Source organism: Homo sapiens, chromosome 17, assembly GCF_000001405.40.
Source record: "Homo sapiens chromosome 17, GRCh38.p14 Primary Assembly".
NCBI classification, from domain to species: domain Eukaryota; kingdom Metazoa; phylum Chordata; class Mammalia; order Primates; family Hominidae; genus Homo; species Homo sapiens.
This window is the reverse complement of record NC_000017.11, coordinates 46,300,779-46,327,314: the sequence shown is the minus strand read 5'-3', so window position 1 is coordinate 46,327,314 and position 26,536 is coordinate 46,300,779. Positions and strand designations below refer to the sequence as shown.

Here is a 26,536-nt window from a genome sequence, read left to right as displayed (position 1 = left end):
GGGAGCCACTGTAGCCAGCAAAATAATTACAATGGAGAGACCTGGAAGATCACCTTAGTCAAGTGATCAAACTTAGTATTACAGGCCATCTGCGGTTACGAGGCAGGAAGGATACATCACCTATGCAGTATTTTTCCCAAAAATGCTTAACTTGAATTTCATCATGAGGAAACAGACAAATCCGGATTGTGGGACAATTTACAAGACAGCTATCTTTGACTCTTAAAAAATGCCAATGTCATGGAAGATCAAAGAAAGTAGAGGCATGTTTTAGATTAAAGGAAATGAAGACATGACATGCAGTGCCTGATCTTTGATTGGATTCTGTACTATTCTTTCATCTTTCTGGCTTGTTTGAATTTTTTCCAATACGTAAATTTGGGCAAAAGAGGTGACCGAGACAATTGATTAATTTATTGTTGTGGCTTATTGGGGGCACTTTCAGAGAGATAAAAACAATCCCTGTAACTGAAGTAAAAGGTTAATCTTAGGCAGTATAGCATGGTCATTAAGAATACAGATTCCATAGCCAGACTATGCTTCAATCTCAGCTCTGCTAATAATGTGAATTTGGGCAAATTGTTTAATCTCTGTTCCTTGGCCTTGTCATTATAATAGTACCTACCTCTAATGAATTTTGAGGATCAAATGAATCAATACCTGAAAAATGCCTGGTGCACAGTGAGTGCTCAATAAGAGTTAACTATAATTATTGTGTTGCAGAGGTTGTGGGGGGCCTTTTCTGAGTCCTCCAAAAGGATGGCTTTATTGGGGCCATATTAAGACTATGAAAACAGAAGAGGGTTTCATGGATACAAGAAGTCTGTGAGTTGGGGGTACAATGTATAGAGTTTTAGATTAAAACTGCATCCAATAAGTTGGCCTGAGACATCTTTCAAACCTATAAAGGAACAATCACAAGTGACTAGTAGTATTCCTTTGGGTCCAGTGGAAGCCTCTGATCTTCATATGGAATGGACCCGGAACCGTAACCCAGCATTTTGTTGTATAGCAACCTTACCTCTGCCACAAAGGTGTTTCTTTTGTTTATTTTGAGGCCGGGTCTCGCTCTGTTACACAGGCTGAGTGCAGTGGTGCAATCTTGGCTCACTGCAGCCTCTGTCTCCTGTGCTCAAGTGATCCTCCCACCTCAGCCTCCTGAGTACCTAGAACTACAGGTGTGTGCCACCACACCTGGCTAATTTTTGTATATTTTGTAGAAATGGGGTTTCACCATGTTGTCCAGGCTGGTCTCGAACTCCTGGGCACAAGCAACCCTCTCTCTTTGGCCTCCCAAAGTGCTGGGATTACAGGCATGAGCCCAAAATTTTTGGTATTCTTTTTCTGCCCCCAACTTTTTATTTTAAACATTTTCTTTTTTTCCTTTAAGCCTTAGAATGGCTGGGAAACATTTTCAAATGGTATAATGAACACCTGTATAACTTTCATCTGGAATCAGTAGTTGCTAATACTTTGCCACATTTGCTTTCCGTGTGTGTATGTCTATACATTTTCTGGACAAAACCATTTGAGAGTCAGTTGCAGACATAATGACCCTTCACCATTGAAGACTTCAGTGTGCAGCCCCTAAGAACCAAGGCATTCTCCGACATAACCAGAGGACTATCATCACTCAATGGAACTTCATATTATCATTGTCTACTATGCGGTCCGTATACACATTTTCACAATTGTCCTAATCATAACATGGCTTAAAAAATTCAGAATCCAATCAAACATCAGACATTACACTTAGTACATGATTCTTTAGTCTCCTTCAATCTAGAACTGTTCCCAGGATTGTTTTAAAGTATACTGACAAGTCTTTGAGACTGTAAATGACCTGAGGTATACTTGAGAATAATTTTTCAATACACATGAAAGATCATTACACATGAGCCAAGACTCAAATGAGCTGGCCTACTTACTTTGTACATAAATGTGTAAACTCCTGAAGACTTCCAATAATGAACTCCCATAAGACAGTTAGTTCAATGTCTTTATGGCCTTGGTGACAAATCATTACAGAGGATGAGAGCATTTTTCCTATCCAATAATGGTCAAGAAAAAAGCAGACAGATCCTCACTATCTTAGAGAACTAAGTGAGAAAGCTGGTCGATGAAGGGGACTTCATCCAGAGAGGAAGGGATCCAGCTGATGGGGAAGATGCTGCAGGAGGCTGAGGAAAGTGAGGCTAGAGCAGTAAAAGAGATCTGACAACCTGGTCAAGATAAGAAAGTGACCTGACAAAAATGAACGGAGCAGAGTGCTAAATGAAGGGCCCTTTCCATGCTAATCTTGCAAAATTCCCTCAACCAGCCCTAGCATAACTGAGTCTCTATTTAGCTTGCCATATTGTGGGGGCTGGTGGCACAATTGAAGTTGCAGTAAATTGTGTAACAAACTCACAATAGGGCCCTGCAGGCATACATATACATATATACACGTACATATATATAAATATATATATATTTTAGACAGGGTCTTGCTCTGTCACCCAAGCTGGAGTGCAGTGGTGCCATCTTGGCTCACTGCAACCTCCACTTCCTGGGTTCAAGTGATCCTCCTGACTCAGGTTCCCTAGTAGCTGGGACTACAGGCGTGTGCCACCACACCTGGCTGATTTATATATATATCTATATCTATATATATATCCTGCAAAGAAGGCCAGGCACGGTGTCTCATGCCTGTAATCTCAGCACTCTGGGAGGTGAGGCAGGAGGATCACTTGAGACCAGGAGTCCGAGACCAGCCTGGGGAACATACTGAGACCTCATTTCTACAAAAAAATAAAAAATAAAAAAGATACATCACATATGCAAATTGACTCAAAATGGATCATAGACCTAAATGTGTATCATTTCTGGGAGAAGACATAGGAGAAAATCTTTTAGACGCTGGATTAGACAACAGGTTCTTAAAGATTTCTTAGGTAAGAAACAAAAAATCACAAGCCATTTAAGAAAAAAATGCTAACTTAAAGCTGGTCAAAATTAAAAACTTCTGCTCTTCAGAAAACATTTTTATTTCTTACTTTTTTTTTTAGACAGAGTCCCACTCTGTCGCCCAGGTTAGAGTGCAGTGGTGCAATCTCGGCTCATTGCAACCTCCACCTCTCAAGTTCAAGCACTTCTCGTGCCTCAGCCTCCTGAGTAGCTGGGATTACAGGCATGTGCCACCACACCTGCCTAATTTGTGCATTTTTAGTAGAGATGGCATTTCCACACAACCGGAATACTACTCAGCAATAAAAAGGAGTGAACAGTTGTCCCTCGGTGTCTGCAGGGGATTGGCTCCAGGACCCCCTGCAGTTACCAAAGTCCACAGATGCTGAGGTCTTTTTTATGAAATGACATAATGTTTGTATACAGCCTCAGGTATACTCTAAGTACCTAATACAGTGTAAATGGTATGTACATAATTATACTGTATTTTAAATTTTCTACTGTTTTTATTGTTGTATTGTTGTTTTATATATTTTATTTTTTCCAAATATTCTCCATCCATGGTTCGTTGAATCTATGGATGAGGAACCTGCAGATATGGAGGGCCAGCTGTAGTGATAGGTGCAACAACATGGATGGTAGCATAATCTCAAAAAAAATTCTACTGAGTGAGGCCAGGCAAGGTGGATCTTATCTGTAATCCTAGCACTTTGGGAGGCTGAGGCAGGCGGATCACTTGAGGTCAGGAGTTCGAAACCACCCTGGCCAACATGGCGAAACCTTGTCTCTACTAAAAATACAAAAATTAGCCAGGTGTGGTGGCATGCGCCTGTAATCCCAGCTACTCGGAAGGCTGAGGCAGGAGAACCACTTGAACCTGGGAGGTGGAGGTTGCAGTGAGCCTAGGTCATGCCGCTGCACTGCAGCCTGGGCGACAGAGTGAGATTCCATTTCAAAAACAAAAAAAAAATTAGGCTTTGTGAAAGGAGCCAAACACAAGAGGCTATGTGCTATATGATTTCATTTATAAGACATTCTGGAAAAGGCAAAAGTATAGGAACAGAAATCAGATTAGTAGCTAACAGGGGCTGATGGTGGGAGGATGGGATTGCCTACAAAGGGACAGTAGGGGCCTTTTTGAGGCATCAGAAATGCTTTATATTGGGAATGTGGTGGTGGTTATGTAACTATACATTTGTCAGACTCATCAAACTGTACACTTAAAAAGCGTGAATGTTACTATATGAAAATTATACCTCAATGAACCTGACTTAAGAAAATAATAAAACAAACCTAAAGAACCAACTAAGTAAAAATAAATCTCAGAAAAAAATAACTTACAGTTTTTCCAGTTCAACAGTCATCATGAGAATGTTCTTAAGTGTTGTAAGTGGGACTAGCGTTGTTCCCATGTCTCTGAAGAAGAAAGCCGAAACATTCATGATATGAGCCCCAATAAAAAATTCTGTACCTAACAATTCAATTTTGGCTTCTCTATTAAACAAGCCAGCTCAAGACTTTATTTGCTGTAGAATTCCAGGGAGCTCTTATTAAAGAAATTAAAAGTTGATTTGCATCATCAAATTAATGATACTCAAGAGCAGAACTGACACTTTTTTTTTTTACCATTATCTTCTCATTTTCATATTGCACTCACCATCTTATTTACTCTTTTCTTTATTTTTAGAATAATGAACACCTTTTCCCCTTTGCTTTCTTGGTTAAATAATATTCCTCCATGTGTCTACATGTTCCAAATCTGTATGGGTTCTTCAATGCTGTTCTCTTCCCCTGCTGGCTGTCTTGACCATTATACATCCTCTTAATTTTTTTCTTCGCCAATAACTTTTTTTCAATAACCCAGTTAAAATTTAAATTATGACATTTTAGCCTAAATGCAAAATACTTAAGCTTTGATGAAAAATTTAAAAAGCATAAATCATCTCTTGACTCATGAGAGTACTATAGTACTTACAGATATTTTAATGCTGGCAATTTAAAGAGATACGGATCTTCAACAGTTGTCAGAGGATTGTGATTGAGAATTCTGAAAAATGGAATAGAATTAAAATAACCTGCATTTTCAATGTGTAAAACTGCATGAAAAGTTTACATTCATTTTTTGATATGGAACTTGTAGGTAAAAAAGAAAAAAATGTTTCCTGTCTTTACCTAAGAAATCACCATTAGACTCCGTAAAGCACTATTCCTATGGGAACTACCAAGGTCTCTAGAAGATAAAGGATAGAACGCGGGGAAGAACTACAAGGAAAAAAAAAGTGGATAGCAAAGAAAAAATATGCCACAGAACTTTTCAGGTCAAAAACCCTAAAAGTGACTATGTTGGTAGGAAGCCCTGACTGTGGAGGAAACAGTATTTCTAGCATCCTCCATAATTCAAGTTGCTCATCATAATTCAACTTGTTCATCTATTTTTTTTTTTTTTTTTTTTTTGAGATGGAGTCTCGCTCTTGTTGCCCAGGCTGGAGTGCAATGGCTCGATCTTGGCTCACTGCAACCTCCGCCTCCCAGGTTCAAGTGATTCTCCTGTTCTGCCTCAGCCTTCCGAGTAGCTGGGATTACAGGCACCCACCACCACGCCCAGCTAATTTTTGTATTTTTAGTAGAGTCGGGGTTTTACCATGTTGGTCAGGCTGGTTTTGAACTCTTGACCTCAGGTGATCTACCTGCCTCAGCCTCCCAAACTGATAGGATTACTGGCATGAGCCACTGTGGCTGGCTGCTTGTCTTTTATCTTTATAAAGTTTTTAAAATTTATGGTTTAATTTGCACAGTTAAAAAAAAATAGGACCAATTCTTTTGCTTTATAGCCAAAGAAGAAGGAATAAATCTAAGAGGAGGAACTGGTCAAAACCATACTCCCACTTGTCTTCTTGTATGACATCACAGCCTTTCTTACATTGCATGTAATCACCTGTCCACTTGTCAGGCTCCTGGACTATGAGCGCTTTGAGGGCAGAGACCACATTTTTTTTTTTTTTTTTTTTTTTCTGAGACGGAGTCTCACTCTGTCACCCAGGCTGGAGTGCAGTGGTGCAATCTTGGCTCACTGCAATCTCCGCCTCCCAGGTTCAAGCAATTCTCCTGCCTTAGCCTCCCAAGTAGCTGGGATTACAGGTGCCTGCCACCATGCCCTGTCATCCCCGTGCCTGGCATGATGTCTGAAATGTATTAGGCATTTAACAAATGTTTATTGAATAAACAAATGACATTTTGTTCATATGTCAATAAAATGAATAAATTGATTTTGATGCAAATTTTTATTCCAAAATGCTGGAATCGATTTTCTTTTTAATTCTTTAAGGTGAACAAGAAAAATAAAAGAAACAGGAAGAAATAAAAGAAAATCTACCTTTAGGTTAACCCAAGAATCATCTTTGTACTTAGGCAGAAATTATAAAAATAATAATTATTACAGTGAGTATCTACTGGGTTGCCAGGTATTTGTGATCAGCAAATACCTTATGTGGTAGATATTATTATTGCCCTATTTTTAAATGAGGAAACTGAGGCACAGAGAGGTTAGATAACTTGTCCTAGGTCACCAAGCTATTAAGCAGCAAAGCTGTAATTTGAACTCGTGTTTAATCTGTATGAAGAAAAAGGGTTTATTTTAACCTTAGGTTTTTAAAAAATTTTCATTTTTGTTCTTCATTCTTTTTCTCTCTCTTTTTCCTTCCTTCCTTCCCTCCCCCTTCCTTCTTTCTATTTTCTTTCCTTTCCTTTCTTTCCTTTCTCCTCTCCCCTCCACTCCCCTCCCCTCCCCACCCAAACAGGGTCTTGCTCCATTGACCAGGCTGGAGTGCAGTGGCGTGATCTTGGCTCACTGCAACGTCCTCTTCCCAAGCTCAGGTAATCCTCCTTCCTCAGTCTCCCAAATAGCTGGGACTATAGGCACGCACCACCACGCCTGGCTATTTTTTGTGTTTTTAGTAGAGATGGGAGTTTCACCATGTTTGCCAGGCTGGTCTTGAACTCCTGATCTCAAGTGATCCGCCTGCCTTGGCCTCCCAAAGTGCTGGTGTGAGCCACTGGGCCCAGCCTTAATTGTGAGAAGACTAAATACAGAAGTGCCTTTCAACCTTCTTCTACTCCTCTGGGAGGACCTCTATGAGAATTACAATTTCTCATTAGCAGGGCACGGCAGTGCTTGCCTGTAATTCCAGCTGTTTCAGAGGCTGAGGCAGGAGAATTGCTTGAACCCAGGAGGCGGAGGTTGCAGTGAGCCAAGATCAAGCCACTCTACTCCAGCCTGGGCGACAGAGCAAAAAAAAGTGGATTACAGTTTCTCTTTTTATGTCTTTCCCCTAATCATTTCCCATGATTAAATAGTTTATTAGTCTATGGTCAATGAGACTTTTTTTTTTTTTTTTAAGAGACACATTCTCACTCACTGTGTTGCCCAGGCTGGAGAGCAGTGGCTATTCACAGCCATGATCCCACTAGTGATCAGCATGGGAGTTTTGACCTGCTCTATTCCTGAACTGGGCTGGTACACCCCTTTTTAGGCAACCTGGTGGTCTCCTTTTCCCGGGAGGTCACCATACTGATGCTGAACTTAGTGCGGACACCCAATCAGCATAGCATGCTACAGCCCAGAATTCCTGGACTCAAAGGATCCTTCTTCCTTTGCCTCCCGAGTATCTGGGACTACAGGCATGTGCCCAGTGAGCCTTCAGAGATTTAAAATCATGTCGTAAGTGACATCAGTGAAAATGGTGGAATAAAGACATGCAGGCTGGGCGCAGTGGCTCACACCTGTAATCCCAGCACTTTGGGAGGCTGAGGCAGGCGGATCACGAGGTCAGGGGATCGAGACCATCCTGGCTAACAAAGTGAAACCCCGTCTGTACTAAATATACAAAAATTAGCTGGGCGTGGTGGCAGGCGCCTGTAGTCCCAGCTACTCGGGAGGCTGAGGCAGGAGAATTGTGTGAACCCGGGAGGTGGAGCTTGCAGTGAGATGAGATTATGCCACTACACTCCAGCCTGGACAACAGAGTGAGACTCTGTCTCAAAAAAAAAAAAAAAAAAAAAAAAAAAGAGACATCCAAAAATTCATCCCTTCATAAAAGCAACAAATACCAAAAAAAATAGCAAAAAAAAAAAAAAAAAAAAAAAAAAAAAAAAAAAAATTGACCACAATAAACTTTTTCAGAACTCTAGAAATGTAACCAAAGTCTTGCAGCAACCCAAGGAGCATTTATTCAAAAAAAATTTCTGTAAGAACAGTGAGATTTGTGTTAACTTGCCTTAGACCATTCCTCACCCTCTAGCTCAGTAGTCGCCTTGGAAAACAGCCCACATCCCCAACCAGAGGGAGCAGAATGGAGCTGGAGCTCCTTCAAAGCCTTATTCTCAGTTAACTGTCATGATGTCATCTGTCTGGTGGTTCCCTGGAAGACCTCATTTGAAAGGTTTGTCTTTATTTGACCAGAATGAAAGCTGTCTAGTGCTAAAGCCTCTCCACAGAGGGTGTTTTTGGAAAACAATTACAGACAAGTGTTTTAACATGGCAACTGTATTCGGCAATGAATAACAGTTTGGGGGAAAAAAGCCTAATCAAAAAGCTTAATAGGAAAAGCTGAGGAATAAGATGTCCACAGGAATTTGAAACACTCTGATATATGCTTGGGAAACTAGAAGTCCATAAGACATATTCCTGGCAATTTGGAATGTCACGCGCATGCATAGGGCAGACTGTCAGCATGGTCAGGAAAGACCTACTAAGTTCATAAACTCTCACCCCTGGCTGACACCTTGAGGTTCTGCACAAGCAAGAAGTGAAAGCTAAGGCATGGCTGTAAATTGTCTAGCTGAGTGCTGAAGGTATGCCCCAACATGTACACAGAGCCCCTTGGCAAAAACTAGGAGACTTATCAGTTCCAAGAATTTAAGTAAATCTTCATTTAATCATTACCTGATCGGTAAGCTAACCGAGGAGGGACTTTAGTGGGAACACATGACATATAATGCGAGACTTTACAGAAGAAGTTCAGAAAAGTCACTAAATAAATAGCAACTACTAACACAAGCAGGAGTAACACCAAACCCTGGCAGCATGGATCTGATTTTCAGAATTGCTACATTATATTATTTAAAATATTCAATTTTTAACAAACATTTATGAAAGATGCAAGGAAACAAAGTATGGCCCAAACACGTGGTTGGGGGAGAAATAAGCAGAAATTGTCCCTGAGAAGGACCAGATGTTAGACTTACTAGACAAAGATTTTTTTATTTTTTATAGGTGGGGTCTTGCGAAGTTACCCAGGGTGGTCTTGAACTCCTGGCCTCAGCCTCAACCTCAGTCTCAGCCTCCCAAAGTGCTGGGATTATAGGCACGAGCGACCATGCCTGGCCTAGAGAAGGATTTAATTCAGCTATTTAAAATATGTTCAAAGAGATAAGAGAAACGATTCAGTTCTGTAGACTAGAGAACTAAAGGAAAGTATGAAAGCAATGTCTCATCAAATAGAGAATATCAATAAAGAGATAGAAACCATAAAAAGGAGTCAAATAGAAATTCTAGAGTTGAAAAGTATGGTAACTGAAATGGAAAAATTATTAGAGGTTCTCAATGGCACATTACAGCAGGCTGAAGACAGAATGGGGAACTTGAAGGTTAATTGAGATTGTTGACTCTGAGGAACAGAAATAAAAATGAATGAAAGTGAATGGAATCTCAGAGACCTGTTTGTGGAACACATCATCAAGCTTACTAACATACACATAATGAGCGTCCCAGGAGAAGAAAAACAGAAAAAAGGAGAAAGAATATTTGAAGAAATGATGGCCCCAAACTTCCCAAACATGATGAAAAACAATCTGCATATTCAAGAAGCTCAAGGAACTACAAGTAGGAAAAACTGAGGGATCCACATCTAAACATACTGTAATCAAACTGACAGAAGCCAAAGACAGAATATCTTGAAAGCAGCAAGAGAAAAGCAACTCATCACATACAAGGGATCCTCAATAAGATTAATAGCTAATTTGTCTTCAAAAACAATGCAGGTGCTGGACATGGTTGCTCACACCTGTACTCCCAGTACCTTGGGAGGCTTGAGGCTCAAGAATTGCTTGAAGCCAGGAGTTGGATACCAGCACTGGCAATAGAGTAAAACCCTGTCTCTACAAAAAATTTAAAACTAACTGGGCATGCCCGTCTGGGATGTGAGGAGCGCCTCTGCCCGGCCGCCACCCCATCTGGGAGGTGTACCCAACAGCTCATTGAGAACGGGCCATGATGACAATGGCGGTTTTGTTGAATAGAAAAGGGGGAAATGTGGGGAAAAGATACAGAAATCAGATTGTTGCTGTGTCTGTGTAGAAAGAAGTAGACATAGAAGACTCCATTTTGTTCTGTACTAAGAAAAATTCTTCTGCCTTGGGATGCTGTTGATCTATGACCTTACCCCCAACCCAGTGCTCTCTGAAACATGTGCTGTGTCCACTCAGGGTTGAATGGATTAAGGGCGGTGCAAGATGTGCTTTGTTAAACAGATGCTTGAAGGCAGCATGCTCGTTAAGAGTCATCACCACTCCCTAATCTCAAGTACCCAGGGACACAAACACTGTGGAAGGCCGCAGGGTCCTCTGCCTAGGAAAACCAGAGACCTTTGTTCACTTGTTTATCTGCTGACCTTCCCTCCACTATTGTCCTATGACCCTGCCAAATCCCCCTCTGCGAGAAACACCCAAGAATGATCAATAAAAAAAAATTAAAAAAAACAAAAACAAAAAAAACTGGGCATGGTGGTGCATGCCTGTAGTCTCAGCTACCCAGGAGGCTGAGGTGACAGCATTGCTTAAGCCTGGGAGGTGGAGGCTGCAACGTTGTGAGTGGTTGCACCACTGCACTCCAGCCTGGGTAACAGAGCAAGACCCTGTCTAAAAACAAAGCAACCACACACAACACTGGAGGACAAAAGGCAATGAAATGGCATATTCAAAGTGCTGAAGAAACTGTCAACCAATAATTCTATACCTGGCAAAACTACCTTTGAAATTGAAGAGAAATTAAGATATTCTAGATAAATAAAAACTGAGAGACTTTGTTGCTAGAAGACCTGCCCTATAAGGAGTACTAACGTGAATCTGCACAAAGAAATAAAAAGCACTGGCTGGGCGCAGTGGCTCAGGCCTGTAATCCCAGCACTTTGGGAGGCTGAGGCTGGAGGATCACTTGAGGTCAAGAGGTTGAGACCAGCCTGGCAAACATGGTGAAACCCTGTCTCTACTAAAAATACAAAAATTAGCTGGGTGTGGTGTTACGTGCCTGCAGTCCCAGCTACTCAGGAGGCTGAGGCACTAGAATCGCTTGAACCTGGGAGGCAGAGGTTGCGGCGAGTAAAGATTGTGCCACTGCACTCTAGCCTGGGCAACAGAGTGAGACTCTGTCCCAAAATAAAGAAAAAAAAAAAAGAAAAAGATACTTACATAATGCAATAATTATAAATCTAGTTGATGAACATAAGGTATATAAAGATGTAATGTGTGACAATAACAGTATAAAGGAGGGGGTGAGAGTGGAGCTTTAGAGAAGCAAAGTTTTTGTATACCATTGAAACAAAGTTGGAATTAATCTGAACTACAACGTTATAAAATTAAGATGTAGCTGAGACTACAGGTGCGCACCACCACACTCGGCTAACTAAAAAAAATTTTTAGAGATAGGGTCTCACTATGTTGCCCAGGCTGGTCTCAAACTCCTGGCCTCAAGCAATCCTCCTTCCTTGGCCTCCCAAAGTACAGGGATTATAGGTATGCACCACTGCATCTGGCCACAAACATTTTGTTTTCTTACTGTTCATTTTTCAAGACAGGTTTTCACTCTGTTTCCCAGGCTGGAGTGCAGTGGAACAATCATGGCTCACTGCAGCACCGATCTCCCGGGCTCAAGTGATCCTCCTGCCTTAGCCACCTGAGTAGCTGTGACTACAGGCATGTGCCACCACGTTCAGCTAACTTTTAAATTTTTTTTGTAGAGATAAGCTCTCAGTATGTTGCCCTGGCTGGCCTTGAACTCCTGGGGTCAAGCAATCCTCCCACCGCAGCCTCCCAAAGTGCTAGGATGACAGGTATGAGCCACTGCACTGCAAAAATACAGAAGACCAAATTATTAAAACTAGAAATGAGAGGGGACATTACTATTGTTCTTAGAGACATAAAAAGGATTATAATATGAATAAAAAGGATTATACATATAAACAATATATGCTAATAATTGGATAAGCTGGATGAAAGACACATTACCAGAAAGATATGAACTACTGAATCTGACTTGAGAAAAAAACAGAAAATCTGAATAGACAGACCTATGTCAAGTAAAGAGATTGAGGTAGTAATCAAAAAACTTTCCACTAAGAAAAGCTGAAGACCAGCAGGCAGCCTCACTGGTGAATCTACCAAATACTTAAAGAAGAATTAACACCAATCCTTCATAAAGTCTTTCAAAATACAGATGAGGAGAGAACATTTCCTAACTTATTCTATGAGGGTGATATTAACCTGGTATCCAAACTAAAGACATCACACACAAAAAATTACAGACCAGTATTTCTTACGAATGTAGATGGAAAAATGCTTGACAAAATCTGGCAAACCAAATTCAACGGAGTATTCTGTAAACATGAAGCAGATAATAATAGCATGATTCTCCAAACTGATCTATGGTTTCACTACAATTGTTGTTTTTTTGAGTGAAAAAGTTTTCATTTATTGGCTGGGCATGGTAGCTCATGCCTGTAATCCCAGCATTTTGGGAGGCTGAAGCAGGTGGATCATCTGAGGTTAGGAGTTCGAGAGCAGCCTGATAAACGGATAAACGTGCTGAAACCCCGTCTCCATTGGAGTCTCACTCTGTTGCCCAGGCTTGAGTGCAATGGCGTCACCTGAACATCTATGTGCAAAATAATGAAGGTGGACCCCCTACATCTCACACGATTATAAGAATTGATGCAAAATATGTCAAATACCTAAATGTAAGAGCCAAAACGATAAGACTCTTACACAAAAACATGGGAGTAAATTTCATGACCTTAAATTAGACAACAGTTTTTTCTTCTCCAAACTGGATTTTTTTTCTTTTAAAACAATTTTGTCTTTTGAATTTAATGAAGTATTACTAGCTGAAGGCAGCCTGACATGGTGACAAGAATGTCAGACAGATGAAAGGGACACAGCCTGATTTAAAACCAAACACTGAACCTTTTTAAAGAAGAATAAGACATTTTATACACACACATGACACCAAAAGCACAAACAACCAAAGGAAAAATAGATACATTAGATTTTATCAAAATTAAAAACTTTTGTGCATCAAAGGACACTGGCAAGAAAGTCACAGAACTCACAGGATGAGAGAAAATATTGGCAAATTATCTGTTAAGGTCTAATATCCAGAGTATCCAGAAGATATAGAGAAATTCCTATAATTCAATAAAAAGACAAATCAATTTTTTAAATGGGCAGAGGATGTGAATAAATATTTCTTCAAAGAAGTTATATAAATGGCTCATATACACATAAAAATGTTGAATGTCTTAAATCATTAGGGAAATGTCCATCAAAAACTGCAGCGAGATACTACTTTACACTCACTGGGATGGCTATGAGAAGAGACAGACAACGACAGTGTTGACAAAGACCCGGAGAAATTGAAACCCTCAAACATTGCAGATGGAAGTGTAAAATGGAGCAGCCACTGTGGAAATCAGCCTGACAGGTCCTCAAAAAGTTAAACATAAGAGTTGCCATACGATCTAGCAATTCTGCTAGGGATGCACCCTAGAATTAAAAACATGTCCACGCAAAAAGTAGTACATGCATGTCCATAGCAGCATTATTCATAAAAGCCAAAATAAAGTAGAAACAACCACATGTCCACTAAGTGATGAATGGATGAACGGATATAGTGATGGCTCCATACAATGGAATATCACTCAGCCTTGCAAAGGAATGATCCATGCTGCAGCATGGGAGGACCTTAGAAACAACATGCTTCGTGAAAAGAAACTAGACACAAAAGGCCACATACTGTATGATTCGTTTATATGAAAGATCTAGAATAGGCAAATCCATAGGGACTCAAAGTAGATTAGTAGTTACCTGGGCCTGCGGGAAGACAGCACTGGGGAGTGATGGCTAATGGGTACCATGTTTCTTTTTGGGATGATGAAAATGTTCTGGGGTTAGATAATGGTGATTGTTTGCTATACAACCTTGAGAATATACTAACCACCACTGAATTGTACACTTTATAATACTGCGTTGATGGTACGTGGATCAAGTCTCAATGTAACACAAAGAAGCATGTTGTACTGTATAGAACACCAGGTGCCAGAAGACCAAACATGCTGGCAGATGGAAAAAAGAGGAGTGAAGATTCACTCTCCCTTGACCAAGATCAGAGTGAGTCAGTGGCGAGGCTGGGAGCCACACAGCTTGTCCTGCCTTGTGATCCCCCTCCTCTTCCTATTCCAGATGGTTTTTCAGTGCCATTAACTTGTTTTGTAACACTAATATTCAATAAGATGATGTTACAAAGAGAAAGAATGTGAGTGCTACATGACTGGTTAAGTATGGATTCTCAAACTAGGGCTTTAAATATCCTTCGTGATTTTTTTTTGGCATGAAAACTTGTAAGACCACTGGTGGGCTCTGTACAAAGTCGGCTACCCCTTCATTCTATATCTTCCTCTGCCCACTTTCCTCCCAGCTATTAAAAATGAATGTAGGCTGGGCACAGCATCTCAAGCCTGTAATCTCAGCACTTTGGGAGGCCAAAGCAGAAGGAGAGCTTGAGCCCAGGAGTTTGAGACCAGCCTGGGTAACAAAGTGAGACCCTGTTTCTATTTTTTTCTAAACACCAAAAATAATGACTGTAAGGCAGTATGTAGCCAAACAACTTGGCAAAGTTTGTTATCTTTCCTCCAAAATTCTCTCACTCTCCAACCTTCCCTCTTTCTTGATAGCTCATCCATAGCCTTGAGCTCAGCATTACCTCTGAACTAGGAAGCTCTTCTCCAGCTGACATTAGGATCTTTGCATTTGTCCCTAATGAAATCAAAATATAGGGCCATTTGATATTATCCTCTTTTCCTCCTGTTCTAAGGCATTCTTTTCTTGACTAAGGTTGTGCCTGGGCCATGGAGAGACTGAGTGAGAACTGGCTCAATGGCTCAAGTTTGAGGACTCTACAGCAACTCTTTTCCACAAACCAAATGATATGAATGTTTTTATTTATTTATATTTATGTTTCCACTTTTTAAAAGTCTTTTTGTAGAGATTGGGGTCTCACTTTGTTGCCCAGGCTGAACTTGAACTCCAGGGGCTCAAGCGATCTGCCTGTCTTGGCCTCCTAAATTGCTGGGATTACAGGCATGAGCCAGCGCGCCCAGCCTCGAGTGTTTTTAGATTCACAGTAGATGACCATTTCCATTTCTGGTTCAAGTCCTTCATTTTATACATTAAACTAAGGTGCACTGACTCCCAGTCCATCGCCTTTTTGGTATCTTTATGGAAGTAAAATGTGGCAAGCTTTTTTTCAGCCTCAAAGACTGTCTCAGAGTAAAAGTTTAAGAAGTACTGCTCTAAATAATTTTATTAAATATGCCTTATTAGATGAGGAAAACTGAAATATTTTTATACAAGCCTTTTGCTGTAGAACAATGGGACAGAATAAAGGTAGCTCACAAAATAAGGGAACATTTCTTGCCTGTTTTTTTTTTTCCCTCCAAATTCTTCTGTACAGGTCCAGATAGATGAGCTATGTTTCCTTTCTATTAACTGAGGAGACAGAGATGAAAGGACTGGAGCATGTCATCACTGTCTTAAATGTACTGAAATCCTAACAGCTCTAGCTGAAAAAATGTCCAAAGCAGGCCGTGAAAATAAATTTAAATGACAAACTCCAAAATGATCTATGCTAGAATCCCAAGGCTGTCAGGGAAAACTGGTTCCATGGAAGAAGGTAGTCAAAGAAATAAGCAGATGACCTAGACCCTCACCCACTATGCGCGATGTACTTGGGGAGAAAGTAACCTCTTTCCTTTATTCACCTACATAGGTTCGTGAGCCACACATCTCCCCACACCAAGCTCCTCCATACAAGACCTCGGACTGCATCACGTAAATGCTTTTTCAGGGGCAAAATCTAGAGAATCTGAAATGGTGAGCCTTTTTCCTTTTTTTTTTTTTTTTTTTTTGAGATGAAGTCTCACTCTGTTGCCCAGGCTGGAGTGCAGTGCAGTGGTGTGATCTTGGCTCACTGCAAACTCCACCTCCTGGAGTCAAGTGATTCTCCTGCCTCAGCCTTCAGAGTAGCTGGGATCATAGATGCCCGTCCCCATGCCTGGTTAATTTTTGTATTTTTAGTAGAGACAGGGTTTCACCATGTTGGCCAGGCTGGTCTCGAACTTCTGAGCTCAAGTGATCCACCCACCTTGGCCTCCCAAAGTGCTGAGATTACAGCATGAGACACCATGCCCAGCTGTGAGCCTGTATCTTAATCAAAGTCCTGAGAATAACCTTGAAGAAGACTCCCTTGCAATGAGCAACAACAGAAGAAGCAAGGGACCTGGAATCTGGCAGACCTGGGTTTGAATTCTGGCTCTGTCACTTTCTGGTGAAGTGACTTGAGTAATGAACATGAGCCTTTCTGGGTAGCGTTTACAGCACAAAGCAATTTGAGGAATAAATGAAAGAGCACGTGTCTAGTGCCTAGCAATGCGCTGGACACAGTGCCGGTGCTCAGCCATCATGTCACACCAGCACTGACCGGTGAGCATAAACCCTGGGGATGCCCAGAGCTGGTACAGCCAGGAGCTCCAGAAGCGTGGGATTCTCAGAGGGAAGTGGAGCTCACTGCTCTACAGGTCCTATTCAAGTTAGAAAGTAAGACACAATGCGCACAAAGCCAAATTGTCATCATTCAGCTCCTATTACAGGGGAACTAAGAGCTGCATTGAAAATTATTTGCAAAGCTTGTAAGTGGTTCTGCCACTTATTAGCCATGTGAACCTTAGCAAATTACCTAGCGTCTCTGAGTTTCAACTTCCTCATCTACAAAATAGAAATGATAATAATAACCGCATCGCAAGAGTTGTTGGAAAAATGAAAATGAGGTATCATAGGAGGTAACATGTATGGAGCATTTACCATAGGCCAAGCACTGTTCTAAGAACTTCGGACATGTTATCTCACTTGTATAAGTACTTAGGTGCCTACAACATAAACAGCACCTGGTAAATTAAGTATTGAAAAAATGCTATGGGGCAGAGGATGAAATGCTAAGCTTCTGTGAGAAGAGAAGACAGCTTGTTACACAGGTGAAAAGAACAAGCTGCAGCTGAGAGAAGAAAAGTATAAGAGTTGCTAGGTGTGACAATCTCAAGACTTTTCAACCACTACAAATTTAAACAGCCACCCTAAATCACCCCAAAGGACAGACTCGAGTTGTTCTTTTTGTCTTTAATGTTTGCGCCTCTCCGAATCAGAGAAGAAGCTGCCAGGATTCCAGTACATACCAAAACATGATGACAATACCCTCAACTGTGCAAACTTTTGTGCATCTACCGCTATGTAAAGGAAGCTGATGTCAGTAGACTGGGGGGAACAGTAAGGCATGTTTGTGACCGAAGCTCAATTTGCCATCACAGTGTGGCCACACCTACCTCACTAATATTCTAATAGTGGGATAAATAATTCAATAGGGATAAAGCCTGGATTTTCCTCTTATTCTCTCTTAGTGCTTACATTCTTGGCATGATATCGATGTGCCATAGACAAGCCAATATGTGAGTGTACTCTATCTGAATAAAGTATAGCCTTTCTACATTGCAAAGTCATCCAGTTTCTAAAATTATTGTTAGAACCAATGAAGTGACTAAGAGAATTTTAAAAAATAAGCCATCAGTCTGGACCTGTGTATAGGAATGAAGGAGAAGCACTTTAAAGTCAGGGAAAAAATATAAACATACTTAACATTTAGGATTATCAACCATTGCTGCTTTTCCATAAACCATTTCATTCATGATTTCATCTGTAAGAGATATGATTATTGCCCCCATTCAGTGAGGGACTTTGATAGTTAGCCGCCTGGTCCTTCTTGCTTGGATGCCCTGCAAATAAATGTCCTCCTTTCCCCAATGCAAAACCTCGATATGGTTGTTTGACTTTACTGCGCTTGGGCCAGCAGAATCCAGTTAAGTCCACTAATAAGCTCTTGGCCTGTCTTTGAGATGGATTTCAGATTCAAAATAGACAGACCTTTTAACCCTGCTAACTTGGCCAGTCAGTATTTGTCAATAACATAGAGGCTTCATTCAAGAGATTTACTGGGTTGTAACTATTGGAACCCAGGGATGATTTCAGGATTTTGTGGGGCCTGAGCCTTATCTAGTAAAAACATTAAAAAAATTATGACTACAAAAATTTCCAGGGGCCCTCCCAGGACCTTGGAAGGGCCTGTGCAAGTGAGAAGCCTGGAAGGTTAGGCTCTATTCAATTCATCATCGATCAACCACAGCTGGGGCCTCTTTTTTTGTTTGTTTTTTATAAACTTGTGTAATGCAGGGAAATATATTGTTTCAACTTACAAACACCACAAAATGGTGTCATTTTGGTCATAAAATTACTGGCACCTTCCCTTGGCATCTTGCCTTTGGAAGGAAATGCAGTGGGCCTATATGTCACATATGCCAAATATGACTGCAGTGTAGCTTTGTTTACCAGGAAGATTTGACTCCAACGGAGCCCAGCCCCTAACATACACTTGGTGTGTTGAGACCCTTGTGCCAATCTTTGAAAGTAACTGTGACTTAGTTTGAAGGGTACAGCTCTATTCTGTTTATATGAAATGAGTGCTAGTTTCCAATATCAGCTAGCTCTGATTTTTTCATCACCATGAAGCAAATGCCTTTTTCTGTTGTTTAAGATGAACACAGAAACTCAAGATAAGCAAGTTAGTGTCTCTCAAGTCTTTCTTAACCCAGCCCCCATTCCTGCTTTGTCCTCTCCTTGTCACCCTGCCGTACAGATCCCCACATGGCTCTCATATGTTTTCCCATCAGCATCCGCTTCCTCCTTGAGGAATGAAAGTCCCCTGGGGACAAAGTCCTCATCTTGGTGTGTCTTTGAGATGGATTTTGTAGCCCCAGCACTTAGTACAGTACCTGGCACAAATGGACATGACACTCTGAATGTTTTTGAGTGAATTCATTAATTTTTATCAACTGTGATTCCAGTGTTTTCCTGGTGTTGCCTACATAATTGTAGTGAAGCTGGCTAGATGATGATGATGATTATTATTATTATATTATTATTATTATTTGAGACAGAGTCTCACTCTGTCCCTCAGGCTGGAGTGCAATGGTGCCATCTCGGCTCACTGCAACCTCCGCCTCCTGGTTTCAAGTGATTCTCCTGCCTCAGCCTCCTGAGTACCTAGGATTACAGTTGCCTGTCACCATGCCCACCTAATTTTTGTATTTTTAGTAGAGACAGGTTTCACCATGTTGGTCAGGCTGGTCTTGAACTCCTGACCTCAGGTGATCCACCCACCTCAGCAAAGTGCTGGAATTACAGGCATGAGCCACCGCTCCCGGCCACCAGATTTTTATGAGGGACTCCCAGTGGTATAAAGTGCTTAGTAAAGATGGTGAGTTTAAAACATTTGTATTGATGCTACCTAAACCTCTTGGTGGAGGGACCTAATGAGCCTGTTCTCTGGTGTGAGGGCAAAAGAAAAACAGACCTTTAGTGTACTTTTCCTAAGTTATGCATCAGCAAATTAATGAGGACAGAGGGGAGCATGTGCAGAAACTGCTGCTCTAGTCCAGACACATCCTGAATGCCTCCCTCTAACTTGAAATGAACTGTGTGAAACTAGATTTCTGAACCACAAGGCAGGTGGAAAGTCTTTTCTAAAGTCAGATGTAGAGGAGAATCTTCACCTTGAGTCCCCTTCAGGCCACTGAATATACCCACTCTGATTTGATGGGTATGTTATACAGAGAAATCATAGAATTTTTGCAATTATGGTAGAAGAGTAGTCAGGAAAGTATATGGAATTAAGATACAGCGATATATTTTCTTTACAAAAGTTTTTTTTTGCACAATAGCTTAACATAAACACCATCTTGGCCAGGCATGGTGGCTCACACCTGTAACCCCAGCACTTTGGGAGGCTGAGGTGGGCGGATCACCTGAGGTCACAGGAGTTCGAGACCAGCCTGGAGGGGAGGTTGGAGGGTAGTGGCACAATCTCGGCTCACTGCAACTTCCCCCTCCTGGGTTCAAGCCATTCTCGTGCCTCAGCCTCCCGATAGCTAGGATCACAGGTGCCCGCCACCATGACCTGCTAATTTTTGTATTTTTAGTAGAGATGAGGTTTTGCCATGTTGGCCAGGCTGGTCTCAAACTCCTGACCTCCAGTGATCCTCCCACCTTGGCCTCCCAAGGTGCTGGGATTACAGGCATGAGCCACCATTCTGGCCCTACAACTTTGGATTTGATTCCTGCTCATATGCAGAGTTTCTAACTGCTTAGATGTCTGCAACATTTAGCTGCAAGGAAGGAAGCTTAACACAAAGTCCTCCAGGGAGCAAAAAACTGCACCACCACGCCCAGCTAATTTTTTTGTATTTATAGTAGGGACAGGGTTTCACTATGTTGGCCAGGCTGGTGTTGAATTCCTGACCTCGGGTGATCCACCCACCTCGGCTCCCAAAGTTCTGGGATTACAGGTCTGAGCCACCCCGCCCAGCAACAAGGCTAATTTGAGGGTCACTTCTTTGATGCCTTTTCTTGCCCATGCTATAGGTCAGAACTAGGACAAGCAGAGGAGGTCATATATAAGCTACATAAGTCTCTTGGCCTCTTTGTACCTTAGCTTCCCCATTTGAGAAAAATGAATGGATCTTAAGACATGCTTTTCAGAGTTGATAATGGGCTTATACCCAGCTACCCAATAATTGTATGAGTTTTTGTACATAAATAGTTGTTTACATGTATTCATCTTCTATTTCACTTACAACTTATGTAAAAACTGCATTCCGTGCCAGGCCTGAAATGTTCCAAAGCTGAGTTCTGTAATTACATTGCAACTAAGATTTCTAAAAAAAAAAGACACAAGCCAAAGAAAAAAAAAATTATTTCAGAACATTTATCATTTGCCATGATTCTAATTTATATAGGATGGAACATAACCTCAATCCTTTCTCTATGCACTAAGGAAATCTGACTGTGGAAGATACTGGCTTATGATTTATACTTTAACACTGCACACGTGGTGCATTAGATACAAAACAGTGAATGTTCAGTAAATACCTGTGTTAAGTGATCTTTATTTCTCTAGAACAGGATTTCACAACTTCAGTGCCATCAACATTTTGGACTATATAACTCTTTGCCATGGGGGTTTGTCTTATACCTTGAAGGATGTTTAGCAGCATCTCTGGCCTTTGCCCACCAGATGCCAGGAGCACACTCACAGTTTTGTCAACCAAAACTGTCTCCGGACATTACCAAATGCCACCTGAGTGCAAAATCACACCACCTGAGAACCACTGCTCTCTGATGATTCACTAAGATCTGTGTAATAATTCTCACAATAATCCTTGCTAGAGACAAAAAGGATTTGCTGTATAATTTTAGTAGCTTTCTACTGGTAAAATTTTAATCATATTTCAAGAATAGCAAAGAGGTTTATAATTAAGTTTTATAAAAATTCCAAATGTAATCAAGTTATATTTGTAACTTACATAAACTTCAAAAATGGTAGTGGTTCAAATGTATGTCTTTCAATAGACTGTATTTTATTGCAGGATAAATCTCTAGGAAAACGAAAATATTGCCTTGATTAGTTATTAAATGTCAATTGGTATGAATAACAGCAAGAGTTTAGAATAATACTGAATACCTATTTTTCATCTCAACTCTAAACGTTTGGACTTGTATTTGAACATTCCAGAGCCCCTAACCCTGCCCATACCTCTCCTAGAGTCTCACCTTCATGGTTTTAATAAATATACAACATAATAGACTTTGGAATTAATTTTTCCTGAGAGCAGTAGACTTGATTAGATGCCCTTTTGTAGTGTCATCAAATCTTAGATTATGAGCTCAAAGATTTTATCTCTATATACACAATTTCTAATATTAAAAAAAATAGTCGGGCCGGGTGCGGTGGCTCAGGCCTGTAATCCAGCACTTTCGGAGGCCGAGGCTGGCAGATCCTGAGGTCAGGATATCGAGACCATCCTGGCTAACACGGTGAAACCCTGTCTCTACAAAAAAAAAAAAAAAATTAGCCGGGCCTAGTGGCACGTGCCTGTAGTCCTAGCTGCTCAGGAGGCTGAGGCAGGAGAATGGCATGAACCCAGGAGGCGGACCTTGCAGTGAGCCGAGATCGCACCACTGCACTCCAGCCTGGGCGACAGAGCGAGATTCCGTCTCAAACAAACAAACAAACAAACAAACAAGTCTCACATTTCTACACCTTCTTAGTTTAGGTCTGTTTTCCTAAGCCACTTCAATATCAGAAGAAATAAAAGACATCCTTTCACATCATTTGAAAGGAAGCTACCCCTTTACCTAATACATAACTTTGAACTAATTCAAATCATATTAATAGAATTAATTTCTATCATATTAATAGAAATTCATTTTTGGTTTTGTATTGCTTTAATATTTCATAAAAAAAAATTTCTTCAGTTATACAGTGATGGAGTTTGTCCCTCCCTCTTTACCTGGATGGTGTAACGTTGTCTGGCTGATATCTCCATCTCCAGTCTCTCCCTACCTAAACTATCCTGCACACAGTCATCATATAAACTCTCCAGAAGTGGCTTGCAAAGACCAGCATCTCCTGGGAAATTACTGAAGATGCAAATTCTTGGTCCCACTCTAGACCAACTGAATCAGTAACTACGAGGGTGGAGTCCAGAACTGAGTTCTAACGTGCCCTCTCAATGACTGTGATGCAGATCTACCTTACAGCGCTGCTGTGGTAACACGGTTCCCCATGTTGGCTCCTCAGCTTGGCATTCAAAGCTCTAGAAGATCTGGCTCCATTTTCCTACTCTCCCTTCTTGTACTCTACGGGTACTCATGGCATTCCTTGAATACTTTCCTGTGTTTTGCCCTCCCATTTTCCTTTTGCAAGTTTAGAGTATTTTCCCCAAGATGTCTGTCTGATGTTACACAATGGCCCTTCAAAGTCCTATTCAAATGGCATTGTTCTAGTAACATCCTCCTGGGTCCAAATTGAAGGCATTTTTTCCTCTTCTATGTTCGAGAAACAATTTATCCCTCCTAGTGCCCACATCCATTTCTTCTTCTTAATGTAGTTATTTTTTATCCCATTTCTTCTGAGCATAAACTCCCTGAAAGCATGGACTAGGTCTTGCTCATCTGCATTGCCCACCATGTTTAAAACTGACACATGGAAATAAAGCAAACTCAAATATTTGTAAAATAAATGAATAGCTGGGGGAGTGAGTAGAAGGAAAATAACTATTTTAAAGGAAATGTAGTTTTATTATTTCATGGTCTCTGTAGCACTTTGGCATCCACCTGAGGGTCTTTACACCCACTTTCCTTAAGCCTTCTATATTTGAAAGAATCTGTTTGCAAAAGAGCATCACTAATGAGCTTAATAAGGATTAATGACATACAGACCTCTATGGACAAAGGGTAAGAATCAAGCTTTCATAGCAATGAACATAGTATCTTCTTGTCTCTAAACAGACAGAAATACAGGGATCCCTTTCTGGTAACAGGGCTGGGGCGATCGTTATTTTGTAATTAGTGAAGAGTTAGGGGCATTTCTGATGTGCTTCTTAGTGTAAACATTTCTAGCTCTATCAGTTAACCATCATTTTAAACATCTGTTTTAATATAACAATTCCTGAAATGAAATCCTTAATACCAGTCTATTCTCTTGGTAGCTTAATATTCTTGATAATATTATTGATATAATTCAGCTATTTTTAATATTTAAATGTTAATTTAATTCCGATTAAATTACCAAAAAATTCTGGATTAATGATGTTCAAATGAATGCAGGTGGTCTCCATTTTCTTCTCCTTTAGGCAACCATCTGAAGTTAACTTTAGTTCCTTTCATCCTACTAAACCAACTTTTTGAAATTTTTTTTGGTGAAGGTCAGACAGTAAATATTTTAGGTTTTATGGGCCACATATGATCTCTCGCATATTTCTTTGTTTCTTTTCTTTTTCTTTCACAGTCCCTTTAAAAATGCAAAACCCATTCTTAACTTAATGGGCTATTTAAAAATAGACCATAAATTAGATTGGATCTATTGGTTGTAGACTGAATAGAAAAAGAATGATATGTGAACCCTTATAAAACAAGGTTCATATGGGTGTCAGTCACTGCTCAGATTTTCTTACCATGTGAAATGTTTTTGTCTGTATTTTGTCTATATAACTTAAAAACTGAAAATGCACAGGAGGTAGCTAGTGTTAGAGATGGGCTGAGACCCTATACAAACTTACAGAATTGCAGAATTTTATTGCTCAAAGAAATCTGAGAGATTATCTAATTTGAACCCCTTATTCATTTTACAGATAATATGACTAAAAACTCATAAATATAATTAACTAACTTACAAATACTGGAGGGATAGCAGGCCTTCAAATGAATCCTTGTGTAATTCAGTCAAGTTATTTTCTCTGAGAATTCTGGAAAATGAAGAAGTTATTTCTAGATTAAAATGCAAACTACAACTATTTGCTACACAGAACCATCTCCTGCATGTGGAGGAAAGCTGGGTCATGGTCACTTCAAGATGGTGGGATCTGCTCTGCTTTCATTCAAACCTTTTCTTATATTTTCCTTTTTGTGTCCATCTCTCTCCACCACCACCACAAACACACACACACACACACTCAAGCACACCCCTTGAAGAGTGGGTTTCTTCCCACCAAATTCTATTATTTCATGCCTCCTCTCTAGATCACAAAATCCCTTTTAGAATCCAACTCTGGGTGGCACCAAGATCAGCAGAACCTCCATTTCCTCCTCTCTTTTCCCAAACCTTATTATGAAAGCCCCACATGGAACCATGTCAGGACTGCAAGTGAAGCCATTCAACCTTTTTCCCCCCATCAAAAAAATTGGAGAACTATAATGTGCATAAAGTGCACATAACATAAATGTTGTTTATATTTAATTTAATTTAATTTTTGAGACAGGGTCTCACTCTGTTCCCAGACTGGTCTCAAACTCCTGGCTCAAGTGATCCTCCTGTGTCTGCTTCCCAAAGTGCTGTGACTGCAGACATGAGCCACCTCACCTGGCCAAAATATTCAGTTTAATAATTATGAAGCAGATACCCATGTAAACATCATTACAAAAGATCATTGCTAGCATGCCAGAAGCCCCAGTGTGCCCCTTTCCAATCATATCCCTCTCTCTAACCCTAATAGGTAACCACTATCCTGACCTTTGTAATAATTTTCTTGTTTTTAAAATGTAGTTCTGGCCTGGCGTGGTGGCTCATGCCTGTAATCCCAGCACTCTGGAAAGCCAAGGTGGGTGAATCACCCACGGTCATGAGTTTGAGACCAGCCTGGCCAACATGGTGAAACCCTGTCTCTACTAAAAATATAAAAATTAGCTGGGTGTGATGGAGGGCACCTGTAATTCCAGCTACCCAGGAGGCTGAGGCAGGAGAATCGCTTGAACCCGGGAGGTGGAGGTTGCAGTGAGCCAAGATCGCACCATTGCACTCCAGCCTGGGCAACAAGAACAAAATTCCATCTGAAAAAATAAATAAAGCAATTCTCCTGCCTCAGCTTCCCAAGTAGATGGGATTACAGGCACCCACCACCACGCCTGGCTACTTTTTGTATTTTTAGTAGAGATGGGGTTTCGCCCTATCGGCCAGGCTGGTCTCAAACTCCTGACCTCAGGTGATCCGCCTACCTCCCAAGGTGCTGGGATTAAAGGCGTGAGCCACCGCGCCTAGCATATGTTTATTTTTAATTTAGAACTCATCGTGGCTTGTCTATATACATTGAAATAATGATGTGACACACAAACTGTTGTGAAAAATGTCAGTTACTTTGAATGTAAGCATTTTTTCCAAAATCACTTATGTGTCTAAACCAATTCCTTCTATAAATCAGTAAGAAAATGATAAAACAATTCAACAGGAAAATGAACAAAGGCCAGAAAACTCAGAGAAGAAACACAAATGTTCAATAAACATATAAAGATACTAAATTAAATTCATGAGTAATCAGAAAAATTCACATTTAGATGGAATCCCTTTTATTCATCCATAACTTCAGCAAAATGTTGGAGAATACCCAGCGGTGAAAAGGTGTTGGGAAATGAATGCTGTCATATTCTGCTGACAATAGAGTAAGTTGGCACAAAATTTTTGAAGGCAATTAAAATTTTATATCTACATAGTCTTCACCCCAAGAATTCCATTTCCAGATATCTATGCTACAGGAATACTTGCACATGTTCACAAAGAAGCATGTACAGGGATTTCATTGCAGCAATGCATGTAACAAGAAAACTAAGCATA

The 26,536-nt window shown here is 40.6% G+C and overlaps 2 protein-coding genes and 1 pseudogene across 14 annotated transcripts in view; 1 reads left to right on the top strand and 2 right to left on the bottom strand.

The window, feature by feature from the left end:
- LRRC37A (leucine rich repeat containing 37A) overlaps positions 1-26,536 on the bottom strand; it is an 89,751-nt gene that overhangs the window by 10,480 nt on the left and 52,735 nt on the right. For 6 of the 12 annotated variants that reach the window (XM_047437205.1, XM_047437200.1, XM_047437206.1 and 3 more), the window contains 5 exons: positions 24,606-24,677; positions 21,735-21,806; positions 21,006-21,086; positions 4,922-4,993; positions 4,288-4,362 (listed from right to left, as the gene is read on the bottom strand). The exons of 1 other annotated variant lie outside the window; for it this stretch is intronic. In XM_047437205.1, coding sequence (XP_047293161.1) covers positions 4,288-4,362; positions 4,922-4,993; positions 21,006-21,086; positions 21,735-21,806; positions 24,606-24,677 — 372 coding nt within the window. The remainder of the gene's footprint in view (positions 1-4,287; positions 4,363-4,921; positions 4,994-21,005; positions 21,087-21,734; positions 21,807-24,605; positions 24,678-26,536) is intronic. 5 more of the 12 variants (XM_047437197.1, XM_047437203.1, XM_047437198.1 and 2 more) reach the window with 3 other exon arrangements.
- Positions 1-26,536, top strand: part of ARL17B (ARF like GTPase 17B) — an 87,604-nt gene that overhangs the window by 34,473 nt on the left and 26,595 nt on the right. The window lies entirely within an intron of this gene.
- RN7SL656P (RNA, 7SL, cytoplasmic 656, pseudogene) lies at positions 7,356-7,636 on the bottom strand (annotated as a pseudogene).